This window comes from Homo sapiens, chromosome 9, assembly GCF_000001405.40.
Source record: "Homo sapiens chromosome 9, GRCh38.p14 Primary Assembly".
Lineage (NCBI taxonomy): Eukaryota > Metazoa > Chordata > Mammalia > Primates > Hominidae > Homo > Homo sapiens.
Genome location: NC_000009.12, coordinates 134,574,190 through 134,592,284, shown reverse-complemented (window position 1 = coordinate 134,592,284; position 18,095 = coordinate 134,574,190). Strand labels below are relative to the sequence as shown.

The 18,095-nt window shown below is 45.8% G+C and overlaps 1 annotated feature.

The window, feature by feature from the left end:
• Positions 2,004 to 2,535: an enhancer, noted in NCBI's record as "H3K4me1 hESC enhancer chr9:137481596-137482127 (GRCh37/hg19 assembly coordinates)". NCBI's record gives its function as "activates a minimal SCP1, AML or CMV promoter by ChIP-STARR-seq in naive H9 embryonic stem cells {active_cell/tissue: H9 hESC(naive)}" and the evidence as "EXISTENCE:reporter gene assay evidence [ECO:0000049][PMID:30033119]".

The window sequence follows — 18,095 nt, the reverse complement described above, 5'->3', positions numbered from 1 at the left end:
CCTCTTGCTAGGCCCGCCTTGAGGAGCAGATATAAATAACTTGCTTTCAGAACTGGAGTGTTTGAAGGGACACAATTAAAGGGACCCGAAAGCCGGCTCTCTCAGGCTGGGCACCCGCGACCTCAGGGTCACCACCGGCTCTGTGGCCAACTACGGCACGGAGCTTGTTAAGCCAAGGCCGCCACCGCCTCTGGGTGCAGGGAGTGGGACCTGCTAAGGAGGGCCTCGTGCGGTGGATCCGGGACCCCGAACATCAGAAATGGCCCTCCAAGGACTCGCTCCCACATCGGCGGCGCTGCTTTCCAAACAGAAAAAACCACTCAGATATTCTCCTGCGGCTAATTTGTTCCAGAAGGCACCAGACTGAATATTGCTACTGTAAATAGATTTCTTCATTATCCTGGGGCCAAAAGTCTCAGGAAAAAAAAAAAAAAAAACAGGAGTCAGTAAGTGTCTGGGCTCCCAGCAGGGTGTGGGAGGACAGGCACAGGGGAGGCTGGGGCCAGCAGCATGTATTCTGGGGGTTGTCATCTGTGTGGTTGCGTTTGTTAAAGTGCTCGCCCGGCTGGAGGGTTCTGGGCTGTGCTTCCGTGAGAACCACATTAGGAAGAGGCAGATGCTTAAACCCCCAGGAGGGAGTGCATTGGGTACTATTTCATGATGGCACCTGGGGTTTAATTTATGGAGGTAACCAGGTGATGATACAGAGAGGCCAATGTCATTGAAAGAAGAGTTTATTACAGCTCCCAAGAAAAGAGGGGCACACCACGCCATGCAGGGCCACCCGGGGAGGCACCAGGGTCGGTCAGGAGGCAGCAGGAGTGAGTGGAGAGGGTGCCCCAGAGTGCAGACAAGTCACAGTGAGCGTAGGACTGGGCAGTTTGAATAATTTTGGCAGGCTCTGGTCTACAGGGATGGTCTCTAGTTGCCTGGCACCTGGCCCTGGGGTGATTTAGGGCAGTGAAAATATTGGTTTGGGGTGTGAGAGTCAGATGAAGGAGGCGGTTGGGGACACAGGCTCTGGAGTGGTTGGAATGTACATGAAAGGCGTGTTGGTAGTCACGTTGCTTGCTGGCTCTAGGAATTAGCCAGCCATGGGAGGAGCAGTCTCTCCAGGATTAGCAAGGCCCCAGGATGTCAAAGCATCACAAAATACAGAAGATAAGAAACGCGATTAACACAGGCAGATAGGCGCTTGCCGGCCCCACGTTTCTGGTGCCCTGGGGAGCAGGCGGCTGCTCCCTGCTCCTGGGAACTGCCACCCCCATCTCAGAGAGCCCCTTCCCTCTCCGTGGAGTCCTAGTCTCCCTGCAAAGCCTTCTTCTCTGGATGGTTTGTCACTGCCTCTCCTCAGGGCCCGGTCTGCGGTGGTCCTCTCCTATCACGGACATGCCCTGAGTGGTATCTGGGTGACATGCACAGGCCGAGGGTTTTGTCCCTGCCTCCGTCTCGCCCCCTCTCCTAAGCACCATATCTGTGTGTGGATCCTCCCAGGGCCTCTCTCTGTGGGCGGACCCTCTGTTCTCACCATGCCCAAGCCAGAGCCCAGGGTCTTTCTCACCTCCACCACCCCTTGTCCACACCACCCCAAACCCATGGATGACCCCCATCCCCTTCTTGCATCCACATTAGTCCTTGCCCCCGGATCCTAGCAGTGGCTTCCGACACTGCCTGTCTCCCCAGCTCCAGGCTTGGCTCCTTCTCCACCAGCACCAGAGCAATTTTTCTGGAGTCGTGCCAAAAACTCAGGCATTTGTGCAACCATAGAGTCAAGAGTGCCTCTTTACCTTCTGAAGCCGGAGGCCCAGTCCCAGGCCTGCAAGAACACTTGGGGGCTTTCGATCGCCCTCAGGATCCATGTGCCTGGCTGTGCTCACCTGGCTGACCAGCCTCCCAGCCGGCCTTCCCCTTCCCCAGCCCAGCAGAGCCACCCTTGGCCGGGCACCATGGTGCATGCCTAGAGTCCCAGCTGCTCTGGAGGCTGAGGTGGGAGGATTGTTCGAGCCTGGAAGGTTGAGTCCAGCCTGGGCAACATAGTAAGACCCCATCTCAGAAAGAAAGAAAAATCGAGAACCATCCTTGGCTCCTGGCACTCATTCTACACCCGCTTGTCTCTGTGGCTTTGCTCGGGCCTTTCCTTCTGATCCCCCACACCCCAGCCCCTCTGCTTTTGCCTGGCCGGCTAAGCTGTCCAGGCCCTTGAAGCTCACTGGAGTCGTCCTAGTTACTCAAACCGCCCTCCAACGGTGATGCCTTCTCACTCAACCATTTCACCCTTCCCAGATATGCAAATTGGCCCTGGCTGGTGCCCCTGCCCCCAGGAGGAGAAAGACGAGAAGGTCACCACAGGAGCATCCCCGTGTGCTAGGAGCAGGGAGCTTCAGAAGCCTCCTTGGGAGGGAGGAGGCTGTCACCAGGAGGAAGTGGGCAGGATGGGCCGTGCAGGCTGAGGAGACAGCAGGAGGTGGGCTTTGAGTGTAGCAGCAGCCCCCACCCTGGACCCCCAGGAGTACACAGGTGAGGGGCAGGCAGAAAGAGCAATGCAGGTATCAGGATGAGGCTGGCCTCATAAAATGAGTTAGGGAGGATTCCCTCTTTTTCTATTGATTGGAATAGTTTCAGAAGGAATGGTACCAGTTCCTCCTTGTACCTCTGGTAGAATTTGGCTGTGAATCCATCTGGTCCTGGACTCTTTTTTGTTGGTAAGCTATTGATTATTGCCACAATTTCAGCTCCTGTTATTGGTCTATTCAGAGATTCAACTTCTTCCTGGTTTAGTCTTGGGAGAGTGTATGTGTTGAGGAATTGATCCATTTCTTCTAGATTTTCTAGTTTATTTGCGTAGAGGTGCTTGTAGTATTCTCTGATGGTAGTTTGTATTTCTGTGGGATCGGTGGTGATATCCCCTTTATCATTTTTTATTGCGTCTATTTGATTCTTCTCTCTTTTTTTCTTTATTAGTCTTGCAGAGACACAAGCAAAAAAGAGAATTTTAGACCAATATCCTTGATGAACATTGATGCAAAAATCCTCAATAAAATACTGGCAAACCAAATCCAGCAGCACATCAAAAAGCTTATCCACCATGATCAAGTGGGCTTCATCCCTGGGATGCAAGGCTGGTTCAATATACGCAAATCAATAAATGTAATCCAGCATATAAACAGAACCAAAGACAAAAACCACATGATTATCTCAATAGATGCAGAAAAGGCCTTTGACAAAATTCAACAACGCTTCATGCTAAAAACTCTCAATAAATTAGGTATTGATGGAACACATCTCAAAATAATAAGAGCTATCTATGACAAACCCACAGCCAATATCATACTGAATGGGCAAAAACTGGAAGCATTCCCTTTGAAAACGGGCACAAGACAGGGATGCCCTCTCTCACCACTCCTATTCAACATAGTGTTGGAAGTTCTGGCCAGGGCAATTAGGCAGGAGAAGGAAATAAAGGGTATTCAATTAGGAAAAGAGGAAGTCAAATTGTCCCTGTTTGCAGACGACATGATTGTATATTTAGAAAACCCCATTGTCTCAGCCCAAAATCTCCTTAAGCTGATAAGCAACTTCAGCAAAGTCTCAGGATACAAAATCAATGTACAAAAATCACAAGCATTCTTATACACCAACAACAGACAAACAGAGAGCCAAATCATGAGTGAACTCCCATTCACAATTGCTTCAAAGAGAATAAAATACCTGGGAATCCAACTTACAAGGGATGTGAAGGACCTCTTCAAGGAGAACTACAAACCACTGCTCAAGGAAATAAAAGAGGATACAAACAAATGGAAGAACATTCCATGCTCATGGGTAGGAAGAATCAATATCATGAAAATGGCCATACTGCTCAAGGTAATTTACAGATTCAATGCCATCCCCATCAAGCTACCAATGACTTTCTTCACAGAATTGGAAAAAACTACTTTAAAGTTCATATGGAACCAAAAAAGAGCCCACATCGCCAAGGCAATCCTAAGTCAAAAGAACAAAGCTGGAGGCATCACACTACCTGACTTCAAACTATACTACAAGGCTACAGTAACCAAAATAGTATGGTACTGGTACCAAAACAGAGATATAGATCAATGGAACAGAACAGAGCCCTCAGAAATAACGCCGCATATCTACAACTATCTGATCTTTGACAAACCTGAGAAAAACAAGCAATGGGGAAAGGATTCCCTATTTAATAAATGGTGCTGGGAAAACTGGCTAGCCATATGTAGAAAGCTGAAACTGGATCCCTTCCTTACACCTTATACAAAAATCAATTCAAGATGGATTAAAGACTTAAATGTTAGACCTAAAACCATAAAAACCCTAGAAGAAAACCTAGGCATTACCATTCAGGACATAGGCATGGGCAAGGACTTCATGTCTAAAACACCAAAAGCAATGGCAACCAAAGCCAAAATTGACAAATGGGATCTAATTAAACTAAAGAGCTTCTGCACAGCAAAAGAAACTACCATCAGAGTGAACAGGCAGCCTACAAAATGGGAGAAAATTTTTGCAACCTACTCATCTGACAAAGGGCTAATATCCAGAATCTACAATGAACTCAAACAAATTTACAAGAAAAAAACAAACAACCCCATCAAAAAGTGGGCGAAGGACATGAATAGACACTTCTCAAAAGAAGACATTTATGCAGGCAAAAAACACATGAAAAAATGGTCACCATCACTGGCCATCAGAGAAATGCAAATCAAAACCACAATGAGATACCATCTCACACAGTTAGAATGGCAATCATTAAAAAGTCAGGAAACAACAGGTGCTGGAGAGGATGTGGAGAAATAGGAACACTTTTACACTGTTGGTGGGACTGTAAACTAGTTCAACCATTGTGGAAGTCAGTGTGGCGATTCCTCAGGGATCTAGAACTAGAAATACCATTTGACCCAGCCATCCCATTACTGGGTATATACCCAAAGGACTATAAATCATGCTGCTATAAAGACACATGCACACGTATGTTTATTGCGGCATTATTCACAATAGCAAAGACTTGGAACCAACCCAAATGTCCAACAATGATAGACTGGATTAAGAAAATGTGGCACATATACACCATGGAATACTATGCAGCCATAAAAAATGATGAGTTCATGTCCTTTGTAGGGACATGGATGAAATTGGAAATCATCATTCTCAGTAAACTATTGCAAGAACAAAAAACCAAACACCGCATATTCTCACTCATAGGTGGGAATTGAACAATGAGAACACATGGACACAGGAAGGGGAACATCACACTCTGGGGACTGTCGTGGGGTGGGGGGAGGGGGAGGGATAGCATTGGGAGATATACCTAATGCTAGATGACGAGTTAGTGGGTGCAGTGCACCAGCATGGCACATGTATACATATGTAACTGACCTGCACGTTGTGCACATGTACCCTAAAACTTAAAGTATAATAATAATAAATTATAAAAAAAAAGAATATCAAAAAAAAAGAGCAATGCAGGGCACAGCCTGAGAGGCTCAGACCCCCCAATTCCACAGACCCTGGGAAGCCCTGGGAGGCACTGAGCAGGGACTGGAATAATCCAAAGTCCTATTTTGGGAAGAATTAGCCAGATGAGTGAGAGGCAGAGTTTTTGCCACACACCCTCATCCTCTGGGCCACACAACCCAAATGCCCTGATGGGGTAGGCGTGGGGGGCTGCCCTGGCTTTATCACCACTAGGAGCAGGCCCGAGAGGATGAGATCCCTCTGCTGGCACTTGGGAGCCGCCAGCCACAGGGCTCGCAAGCTGGTGAGTCACACACCCTCCAGCCTGGGGCCTCGGGCACGCAGCAGCAGCCTGCAGACTCACTGCTGGCCCTCCCCGCCAACATCCATGTCCCAGCTGCCTAGGAGGGGTCCACGGTGGACTAGATACACCAAGGAGTGAGCCACATCCTTCCCCTTCCCCAGCCCAGCAGAGGCCTGGGTTAAAGAACTGCTCGTGTTTGCAGCCACTGAGCTCAGGATGGTTTCTTGGTGGAGCAGATGCTGGTTCCCTTGTTAGTGGGGCTGGTGGCGGAGGCCAGGAAAGCAGATGGCCCAGCTGCCTCGCCGCACGTTTGACCTGCACAATCCAACTCAGCCTGGAAATGGATGGAAGTCTGGGAGCAGACCCCACGTGTGGATGACTGGACCTTGGGCCACCACCGGCCAGAAAAGGCTTGGTCACTCTGCCTGTTTTCAGAAATTGCACTTAAGACCAGGCAGCTGGCTATAAATTCATACTCCCGAACAAGACCCAGCTTAAAGAGAGACCAGCGGGGTAATTCCTTGCCTTGTCTCCCGGCCGGGCAGTGCCGGTGAGGCCATTTGGCCCTCCTCGTCAAGGGTCGTGGCTTTGAGCCTCACTCTGCTGTGCCTGCGACACGGGTTTTAGAAACCTCCTTGAGGTAATGCTAGAAAAAGAAATCCAGAAAATGAGAAACAACAGACTTCCCATATTGCGAGTCTGTCCAGGAAACCGGGAGCCGCTATGAGACTTTTGCTGGAGACGACCTCTTTGAGCAGATGACTGTATTCCAACAGGAGTTGCTGGAAACCAGGAGAAAAGTTCCGAAGCCTTGACCCAGCCCTTGCCGACTCCACCTCCCACCCTGCCTGCAGAGACCCCTTCCCTGATTGCACTGGCTTGGCTGGGAGGACCTGCATCTCAGCTCAGTTGTAAAGTGGAGAGTGTGCTAGAACTAGAGCTCTGGACCTAACGATGAAGGCTTTGGACCCTTTCCCCAGAAAAACGCCAAGTGCATAAATGCACACATACCCAGCATGTCCCATGGGCTCCCCGTGTCTCACAGACCCTCTGAAGCCCAGCCCTGCCCTCCGAGATCTCGCGTGCTTCTCCTGGCATGCAGCCAGCTTCCAGTCACCAGGGAGGCCTTCCTAAGGCGGTGTCAGTGTGCAGCAGCACCCCAACTCCCACCCCCACTTCCTCGAGGGGCTCCCGCGTCCCAGGATGGCCCACACAGGAAGCAGGGCCCCGGCCCCTCAGAAGTCGTTCATGTGTTCTCAGGTGAGATGAGATGATGCCACCCACATCGGAGCTCTGGCCCAAGTCAGAAGCTGCCTCACCGCCTGGGGTACACGGAAGGAAGTTGAGTCCTAGTGCAAAATGCAGGTGGAGGTTGCCAGAGTGTGCACAGCAAATGACAACCTTCGCTGCCAGTTCTGCTCCGCTCCGCTCATTTATTATACTAAGCAATAACTTTCCAAAGCAAGAAGTTCAGGATGGAGAGAGTCCCCTCCTGTCTAGTCATGGGGTGGACGCAGTGCCCACCTGGGCTGTATGGGGAGCACCGGCTCTCGGGATGCGTGGATTTAAAAAAAAATTAACAGGGCATAAGAAGATGATTTTGCCAAAATTGTCATGACTCTGAATTCCTGCTGTGGGGACTTCCTGAGTTTTCTCAGCTTTTACATCTAAGATTAGTCTTGGCTGAGGAGAAATGAGATGTGATTATGCTACTTTTTCCAATTGTAGGTTTAAAGAGTTCAGATTTAATGACCAAAGTCACGCAGATAATGGAATCTGTCGTCTTCTTACACATTGTCAGCCTCGAGCACATTTATTGACCTTTTGGGGCTGTCCATTTTCCACTAGGATTGAGATTTTGGCTGTGGCTCACAGCTGCAATCCCAGCACATTGGGAGACCAAGGTGGGTGGTTCACTTTGAGCCCAGGAGTTCAAGACCAGCCTGGGCAATATGGAGATACCCCATCTCTACTAAAAATACAAACAACAACAACAAAAAAAAAAAAAAAAAACAACTAGCTGGGCGCATAGTGGTGTGCACCTGTAGTCCCAGCTACTTGAGAAGCTGAGGTGGGAGGATGGCTTGAGCCCAGAAGATGGATGTTGCAGTGAGCCAAGACCATGCCACTGTACTCTAGCCTGGGTAACAGAGCCAGACCCTGTCTCAAAAAAAAAAAAAAAAAAAGAAGATGACTTTAACAACATAATTCCCATGTTTATTTATTTTGAGTCACTCACAATTAGTTGCCAAAAAAGCATTTTATACATTGAGTTGGGGGTGGGGGATAGTGGGTCTTAATGTGGTATTGCATGGAAGGGGGAGATTTTATATTTATAATCAACATGTAGGTTAACACGCTTTTTTGAAATCCAAGCAATATACAGGAAATTTAAGTAGAATAAAAATTGCAGCCCATTTTTGAAATGTCAGCACGTGCTGTGTTCAGCTGAGGTTTTTGTTGTTCGTTTTGTTATTTTTTAACTAATAAGTTGGTTATCAGTGGTGGGTTTTCAAAACGTACTTGTTCTAATAAGTTGTACAATGAAATAAATCAGTGGCATTCTCTAGATAGTGTGGGGGAAGGCTAGAATATTTTCCGGCCTCCTATGAGTGGGAACCCAGAATCAATCTGAATTAGTCCTATTTTGGTGGAGTTTGTACATTTTAAATCCTATGACAAAAATAATCTAGCTTTCATTTCCTTCCTAGCTAGATGCGAATTTGTCTTTTCAAATGACCCTGTCAATAAGCCAGAAAGGGCAACACAGAAAAAGTGCTCCCCAAATCCTTCTGAGACTTGGCCCGTGTGTCTGGATGAGAAGCCATTCATCATAAGGGTGCAGAAAGCTTGACCAAGCTTAATTGCAAACAGCGTTCATTCTATTTTTAAATGTACAGGTCCGATCGTTTCTATAGAAATGGGTTTATCTAAGAAAAGTCTTGGTATGTCTTGCTGCTGTAAAAGGCCTTTCCGAAGCCCTCCTTTTTTTCCTGTTCCCCATAGGGTGTTTGCACAGCTAAGGACCTACTGCATGTCTGTCCCCAGGGCCCCGGTGGAAGGAAGGCAGCGCCTGCTCTTCCTCGACTCAGCCCGTCATCTGAAAATTCAGAAGTGAACCAAGGGTTAGACACCAAAGGTTGGGCTTCTGTTAACAGGGGTTTCAAAACATGAGCATTATAAGAAGTAGCTTAAAAAAAGAATGGGTGTACGCAGTGACTTCCGATGGAAATCTCCAAAACAATATTCCTAAGTAGCAATGGGGTTGGCTCAAGTCTTTATTAACAAAGAACATTCTCTTTCGTCTATAAAGAAATTCTTTTTTTTTTTTTTTTTTTTTTTGAGACAGAGTCTCACTCTGTCGTCCAGGCTGGAGTGCAGTGGCGTGATCTCGGCTCACTGCAAGCTCCCCACACCGGGTTCACGCCATTCTCCTGCCTCAGCCTCCCGAGCAGCTGGGACTATAGGCGCCCACCACCACGCCCGGCTAATCCTTCTGTATTTTTAGTAGAGACGGGGTTTCCCCGTGTTAGCCAGGATGGTCTCGATCTCCTGACCTCGTGAAACGCCCGCCTCGGCCTTCCAAAGTGTTGGGATTAGAGGCATGAGCCACCGCACCCGGCCAAGGAATTCTTAAAGATGCGTTGACAGTATTGAATTACCAACAGCCTGTGAAGATCAGTTTGACCGGCATGGACGCGTGCTGGTTAAGAGCTCAGGCCTTCGTGGGCCGAGCGGGATCTTGATCATGAGACTGGTGTATGGATCCACCGCCAGATTCTGTCTGCAGAGGAGGACGTAGGGGGCCGTCCCACCCACCGGGCCTCCCTGCTGTCTTTTAACACAGGCAAAAAAGGTTCACGGCAATGTAACAGTCAATGAACTTTCAGTTTAAATTGTGTACATTTTTAAATTGTAAGATTTTTACTGTATATTGATGCATAGTGTGATTCAATAAATTGCTTGTAATTTAAAAACTATTTAATATTCAAAATAAATATAGTTATATATTTATTTTTTAAAAAAAGAACACTTAACCTATCCCTATAGTCATGAAAGTGGATATGTTATCTTCTAGAAAGTATATTGCTTTATGTTTCATACTCAGCTCTACAAACCACCTAGAACTGTAAGTTTCTTTTCTTTTTCTCTTTTTCTCCCCATATGACCCAAATGATTGAACACCATATTTTTTAAAAAAATCTTTTTTCCATTGCTCTTCAGAACTAGCTGATCATAAATCAAGGGATCATATAGACGGGTCTGTTTCTGTTCTTAACTCTGTTCCATTGGTCCCTGTGCCTATTCTTGAGGAAATACCACACTACCTTACTGTAATTCTATAACACATTTTAGTATGTAGTAAAGTAACTCTTAATATTTTGTTTCTTCTTTAAGATTGTCTAGGCTACTACTCTTGGCCTTTCACATTTCCATATAAATTTTAGAATCAGCATAGAAATTTCCACAAAATGTATGCTGGGTTTTGATTTCAATTCCATTGAAAGTAGATACACTTGGGGATGAATGAGCATCTTTACACAAGTGAGTCTTCCATTCATGAATATGAAACATCTTTCTATTTGTTTGGGTCTTCTTCCATTTTTCCAAACAAGGTTTTGTAGTTTACTATGAAGGTGTCTTCCGTATCTTTTAATGCCTTTATTTTTGGAAAACTTTATGTATTTTAATACCATTATAAATGACCATTATAAATACCATTATATATAAAATACCATTATAAATCTTTAAAATTTATTAAATGTCAGTTAAGGATATAGAGAAACACAATTTTTTTTGTCTTGACATTATATTCAGTGACTTTGCTGAATGCACTTATTAATTCCAATAGTTTATATATTCTTTTGGATTTTCTATGCAAATAATCATACAGTTTGTGAATAATACTTTTATTCCTTCCTTCCTCATCTTCACACCTTTCATTTGATTTCCTCTGAAATCTCCAGTACAGTTTGGAAAGGTATGGTGGTAGCGGAAGCTTGGTTCCAGTCCCAATCTCAGAGGAAAATTTCAATATTTCACTATTGAGTAAAATATCTGCTACAGATATTTTTCGTTTCTTTGGTTGGTTAATTTGAAAATTCTCTTTTCAGATTAAGGAAGTTTCCTGTATTTCTGGATTACCCATAGATAACAACTTGTTTTTTCTCCTTTATACTGTTACTGTAGTGAATTTCATTGCTTGATTTATTGAATGCTAAACTACCCTTGTGCAATACTTTTCTTGGTTATGATGTATTAGCCTTTTATTATTTCACCAGATTAAATTTGTTAATATTTGATTAGAATTTTCACATTTATGTTCATGAGAGAGATTGGTTTATACTTTTTCTTTTGTGTAACATCCTTATCAGATTTGATGTCAAGGATATGTTGTCTCCACAAATGGAGTTGAGAACATTCCATCTTTTCCCATTCTCTGAAAGAATGCGTGAAAGACAAGCGGTAGTCTTCCATTAATATTTGGAAGGATTGACTAGTGAAGCCATCAGGCCTGAAGATCTTTTGTAGGAACATTTTAAATTAAGGATTCAATTTCTTTACTAGTTAAATTAAATTTTACTTCATTTCTTATATCTCTTTTGGTAGGTTGTATTGTTTTTAAGAATTTTTCCATTCATCTAAATTTTTTAATGTATTGGCATAAAATTGTTCAAAATATTCCTTTATTAGCTTTTAATATCTGTAGGATCTGTAGTGATGTCCCACTTTTTCTTCCTGATATTGGGAATTTATGCTTCTCTCTCTCCTTGGAGGTTTGTCAATTTTAATAGTCTTTTCAAAGAATCAACATTTGACTTTGTTGATCCATGCTATAATATATTTGTTTTTTTACTTCATTGATTTCTGCTATTGTCTTTTTTTTTTCTTCCTTCATTTTTGGGATTTGATTGAAGATACTGTTCTAGATTCTTGAGATAGATACTTAAATCATTATTTTCAAGTCTTCTTCTTTTCCAAAATATATGTTTGTTTGACTATAAACTTTTCTCTAGGTATAGCTTCAGCTGTATCCAAAATTGTAAATATGTCATATTACCATTTGTTTTCAATTCAAAATATTTTTAAATCTCCATTTCTATTTCTTCCTTTATCCACTTTTGAAAGCATTTTGGTGAATTTCCAAATACTTAGAGATTCTTTAGTTATATTTTTATTATTGATTTCTAGCTGAATTCCACTGTGGTTAAGGGAAGATATTCTGTATTACTTCAACTATCAGAACTCTGTTGAAAGATCACTTATGGACTGGCTTAGTATCAATTTTGGAAAGTGGTTTAGTACACCTGAAAAAGGATGTGTATTTTTCAGTTGTTGGATGTAGTTCTCTATATGTCAAGAAAGTCATATTTATTAACAGCATTTTTCAAAGCATTTATTTTCTTACTGATTTTTTGTTTGATTAGAACAATCCAATTACTGATAGGGTGTATTCAAATCTCTCAATAATAGGTACATGCAAGTTTAGAATTATATCTTCCTAGCAGGACTTGATCCTTTTATCATTACAACCCCTCTTAATCTCTGGCAATCTTCCTCATCCTCCTTCTTCTCCTTCCTTCTTCCTTCTTTCCTCCTTCTCTTCCCCCTTCCCCTCCCGCTCCTTCTCCCCCTCCTCCTCCTCTTCCCCCTTCCCCTCCCCGCTCCTTCTCCCCCTCCTCCTCCTCTTCCCCCTTCCCCTCCCGCTCCTTCTCCCCCTCCTCCTCCTCTTCCCCCTTCCCCCTCCCCCTCCTCCTCCTTCTTCTTTTTCTTCCTTCTTCTTCTTCCTCCTCCTCCCTCCTCCTCCTCCTCCTCCTCCTCTTCTTCTTCTTCTTCTTCTTCTTCTTCTTCTTCTTCTTCTTCTTCTTCTTCTTCCTCTTCTTCTTCTTCTGACAGGGTTTTTCTCTGTCATCTAAGTTAGAGGGCAGTGGCATGATCATAGCTCATGGGTTCAAGACATCCTCCCCACTCAGCCTCCTGGAACTAGAGTCACACACCACCACAGCTGGCTAACTTTTTATGTTTTTTGTAGAGACAAGGTCTCACTATGTTGCCCAGGCTGGTCTTGAGCTCCTAGCCTCAAGCAATCCTCCTTCTGCCTCAGCCTCCCAAAGTGCTGGGATTATAGATGTGAGCCACTATGCCCGGCTAGCAATGCCTCTTTACTTTGATATCACCACAACTATAGTAGCTTTCTTATAGTTACTATTTGTCTGGGGTATGTTTGCCATGCCTTTGCTTTCAACCTTTCTAAATCCTTATATTTACATATAAATATTTTTAGTAATATAGAGTGGGTTATTTATCCAGTGAGGGAAATTTTGGCTTATATTTGGAGTATTTTTCCATATACATTTATTGTACATAGCTAATATTCATCCATTCTTTCTGATTCTCATCCATTATTTTACACTTTTTTCAGTGATGCTAAGACTGGGACTCTGCCAATTACGGTTCTCATTCTTCCTTGCTAGCTGGCCTTTGTTGGGATTCACTGATAGAATGGCCTAGAGCGAGACACAAGACTTGGGGTGAGGGGACTTTCTGGTTTTTCCTGTCCCTTTCAGCATTGCTCCTGTGGCAGCAACAGTTGGTTCTTGCTGTGGGCATCTTCTTTCACCCTATCCTATGCCCTTGGAAATATCAGCAGTAGCCAGGCCGCAGCACCCTTCCCATCTCCTCCCTTTGGTTCCTCCAGACCTAGGAACGGTACAGTCTTCCTGCAGTTACCATCTTTGTGTTATCTCATTGCTTCTTTTTTGTTCTTCAACAACTGTGTGATCGATTCCCTCTAATAAATTCCCTTTGTTTGAAATAACTCTTGTGGTTTCTGTTTCCCTGACCAGACCTCCGCCAATATTCTGTTATTATTATTATGATTGAGATGGAATTTCACTCTTGTCGTCCAGGCTGGAGTGCAATGGTGCGATCTCAGCTCACTGCAACCTCTGCCTCCCGGGTTCAAGTGATTCTCCTGCCTCGGCTTCCCGAGTAGCTGGGATTAACAGGCACCTGCCACCATGCCTGGCTAATTTTTTGTATTTTTAGTAGAGACGGGGTTTCGCCATGTTGGGCAGGCTGGCATGGAATTCCTGACCTCGTGATTTGCCCTCCTGGCCTCCCAAAGTGCTGGGATTACAGGCGTGAGCCACCGCGCCCAGCCTCTGTAATTATTATATATTGAGCTTTAAATCAACCATATTACTCTTTCCGTATGGTTCATCTGCCCTGTTTTTCTTTTTCTTCTTTCTTGACTTCTCTTTGTTTTTTATTGTTTCATTTTTGCTCTATCTAATCAAATTAATTAGACATTATTTTCTACTCTTTTAGTGGTTACCCTAGAGATGGTAGCATGCATTCTTGACATTTTAAAGTCTGGTCTATATTAGCACTTTTACCACTTCTTGGACAAGGAAAGGACCTTACAAGACTTCGTTTACCATTTCCTCTCAACTTACATGCTTTCATGGACATAGTTTATTCTCTACACATTTTAAGCATCACAAGATATTAGTATTGTTTTATCCATTGAGTTCTAACCACATATTCACCTTTTTCATTGCTCTTCATCCCTTCTTGCATTTCTGTTCTGCCATCTGGGTTAATTTTCCTTCTGTCTGAAGAGCTCTCTTTAGTATTTCTTTTTGTGCCAATCAGCTGGTTCTATCAGGTTTTGATGGTCTGAAAATGTTCTTGTTTCCTTTTAATTATTAAAGGATATTTTCACTGAATATAGAATTCCAGACGGGCCACTTTTTCTTTCAGTCCTTTGAAGTTATCACTCCATTGTGTCTGGCTTCCATCATTTCTGTGGAGAAAATTAGCAATCCATCTAACGTTAACATTTTTTAAAAAAAAACCAATATGTCTTTTTCTTTGGTTGATAATAAATTTTGTCTTTGGTTTTCAGTATACTTACTACAATTTTCCAACATGTAGTTTCCTTTGGATTTATTCTACTTTGGGATATATCACTTCTTGGATCTGTGGCTTCTTGTCTTTCTTCAATTTGGGAAATTTCTCTTCAAATACTGCTTCTGCCTTATTCTGTGTCTTCTCATATTCTGGGACTCCAGTTTCATGTATTAATCTATATCACCATAGCCTATATAACTCTTATGTTCTTTTCTACATTTTCTATCCTTTTGCCTATCCATGGAAACTGAATATTTTTTAGACCTATCTTCCAGTTAATTAATTATCCAGTCTGCTGTCTACTGCTAAATGCATCCATAAAGGTGTAGTCCTATTTTTTCATTTCCAAATTTTCTATTTTTTAAATAGTTTCTGGAATTTTCGCTAAAATTATCAATCTTAAATTTTAATTTCTTATATATATATCATAGTTTTTTAAAATCCCATATCTGATGACAACGTTGTGTGTATCCCATGGAAGAGTCTGTCATTGTTGATACGTCTGTGGGAAGGGATTCTACCGTCTTCTAGGGGGCAGAAGCCAAGAGTCACATCTTTGGATCAACAGTGCCAGTCTCTAAGCCTCCAGGAGCAAAGCCAGTCTGTAAGCTAGAACCCTTCAGAGTGTCCGTGACCTCATCATCTCCTCATATAACACACACATGGTTAGCTCCGGCTCTGCACCTAGCAGAGCTAGGGCCAGGCAGGACAAACATAAGAAGGACATGATCTCTGCTCTCAGGGAGCCCATCATCCATCAGGGAGTGACAATTTCAATGGGGCCTATGAAATACTGAGGCTGGGCTCACCCTGAAAACAGTGGAGGCATTGGTGGAAAAGGTATGAGTTCCTCAAAATGCAGGGAAATCCTGAGTCTGGAAGAGAATGATGTTCGAGACATAAGCCCAGAAGGCACAGGAATGCTTGTCCATCCCAGGAGCTGCAATCCTGTTCCTCAGGGATGAAGCAGACATCAGGCGCCTGCCAGGGAGGGGGCCAGGCAGGGTTGCAGGGGCTTTTCAGAACCCTTCCTCTTCAGGAGCATCAAGGTCATGACCTCATGGGAGCCAGAGACAGAGGGGGTAGCACTAAAGGTAAGACTTCTGCTACTATGGCAGGTGAGAGGAAAAGAGGCTCGGGGTCCTCCTCAAATTGCATTTACCTTTCTGTACGATACAAAGTTGGCTCTAAATCCAGAGCAGTGCCCTTCTCTGCAAAGCACGGCCACTAGAGAAACTAGGAATCCATGGATTCACCTTCTGGTGGCCAAGATAGAAGCAGGCAGTCACATTTTTGAGAGATGCCAGTTCAAGCCAGAGAGAGCTAGAATTCACCATGGGTGCAGGGTGGAGTGCAGTGTGCGAGGTGGTAGCCACAGGAGAGTCTTGGAGATGGGAACTAAGAGCTCTTCCTCCTGTCTTCTCCTCCTGAGAGTTGCTGACAGAGTGAGCAACTCTCACACTGTCATCAGCCCACGTCTCAGCCTTCCTTGGATGGCCCAGCCGCCTTCCTGCCTGGGCCTCCCCTGACTGTAGCCACCCTGCACCCCCTCTTATCCCTCCAGATCCAGACCTGCCACAGAGCCCCAATTCCCTCACCCACTGCTGTCACGTGATTTAATCCTTGTTTGTTTCTGAATCCATCTTCCTGAATTGGATTCCCCCAAGAGACCAAGACCTATGCCAGCCTCATTCCCTCCGTCTCCCAGCACCCAGACAGGCTCTGATCAGCTGGGTTAAATTTGTGAACAGGGTCCACCATGGGCCGCATGCTGGGCACCCCACTGGGTGCTTCCAGAGGATCTGAATCCAGGGCTGTGGGATGCTAGTGGGGGGATATCTGGTTCCCAGTTCCTCGGCATTTCCAAGAATGCAGCCATCCCTCCCTTCCCCTTGGGGCCCCTCGGGGCAGGCTGTGTCTGGAATTCCTGAGGCAGGGCAGGTTTACATTGACTGCTGGGGCACTGAGGCTGCAGGGAGGCACCCAGGCCAAGGCAAACAGCAGAAGGGATTCTGATGGCTGACGAGTGGAGGTCAAGGGCAGCCCCAGCCCAAGTGGGAGCCGTCAGGGGCACCCACGCCCTCACATGTCTTGCCTTCAGTGGGTTAGATACCAAGGAAGGCCTGCTGCACAGGGAACCACCACGGAACGGGCAGGAGACAGAGAGGGCCAGGTAGGTGCCCAGGGCTGGAGAAAACTCAAAATGCTCCTCTGAAATCAGAGAGTGCCAAGTACACAAGGCCCCAGCGCCACCATCGTCTCATCTGAAAAAGCAGGGCAAGTGCACTATGCCTATTGATCGGGGAGGAAACTGAGGCCCAGAGAAGCCCGGGGCTTGCCACAGACCTCAAGCCTAGTGACTCCAGCCCTGACAGAAGGGCACACGGGAAAGTCTGTGATGAGGGAGAAGAGCTGGATCTGCCCAAAGTACCTGGACCTTTTCCTCCAGCACCTCCATGGTTTCCCTGGCCAACCACCTTTCTGGGCTGAACCTTCTCCCTGTTCCATGTTCCCGTGGGCCCCTGGGAGCACCCCACGTGGGGTTTTCTACATGGTGCTGGAGGTGGGTGTCTGTCTCTCTGCCCATGTGCTTTGCCACTCAGCAGTGCCCTGAAGCATCTAGCACAGGACTCACACACAGTAGGAGCTCACAGACGCCCCCTGACACCCAGGCAAGGACTCACACACAGTAGGTGCTCACAGGCGCCCCCTGACTCCCAGGCAAGGACTCACACACAGTAGGTGCTCACAGACGCCCCCTGACACCCAGGCAAGAAGTCACACACAGTAGGTGCTCACAGGCGACCCTCTGACTCCCAGGCAAGGACTCACACACAGTAGGAGCTCACAGGTGCCCCCTGACACCCAGGCAAGGACTAACACACAGTAGGTGCTCACAGATGCCCCTCTGACACCCAGGCAAGGACTAACACACAGTAGGTGCTCACAGACGCCCCTCTGACACCCAGGCAAGGACTCACACACAGTAGGTGCTCACAGGCGCCCCTCTGACTCCCAGGCAAGGACTCACACACAGTAGGAGCTCACGGATGCCCCCTGACACCCAGGCAAGGACTAACACACAGTAGGTGCTCACAGGCGACCCTCTGACTCCCAGGCAAGGACTCACACACAGTAGGTGTTCACAGGCGCCCCCTGACACCCAGGCAAGGACTCACACACAGTAGGTGCTCACAGACGCCCCCTGACACCCAGGCAAGGACTAACACACAGTAGGTGCTCACAGGCGCCCCTCTGACTCCCAGGCAAGGACTCACACACAGTAGGAGCTCACAGACGCCCCCTGACACCCAGGCAAGGACTCACACACAGTAGGTGCTCACAGGCGACCCTCTGACTCCCAGGCAAGGACTCACACACAGTAGGTGCTCACAGGCGCCCC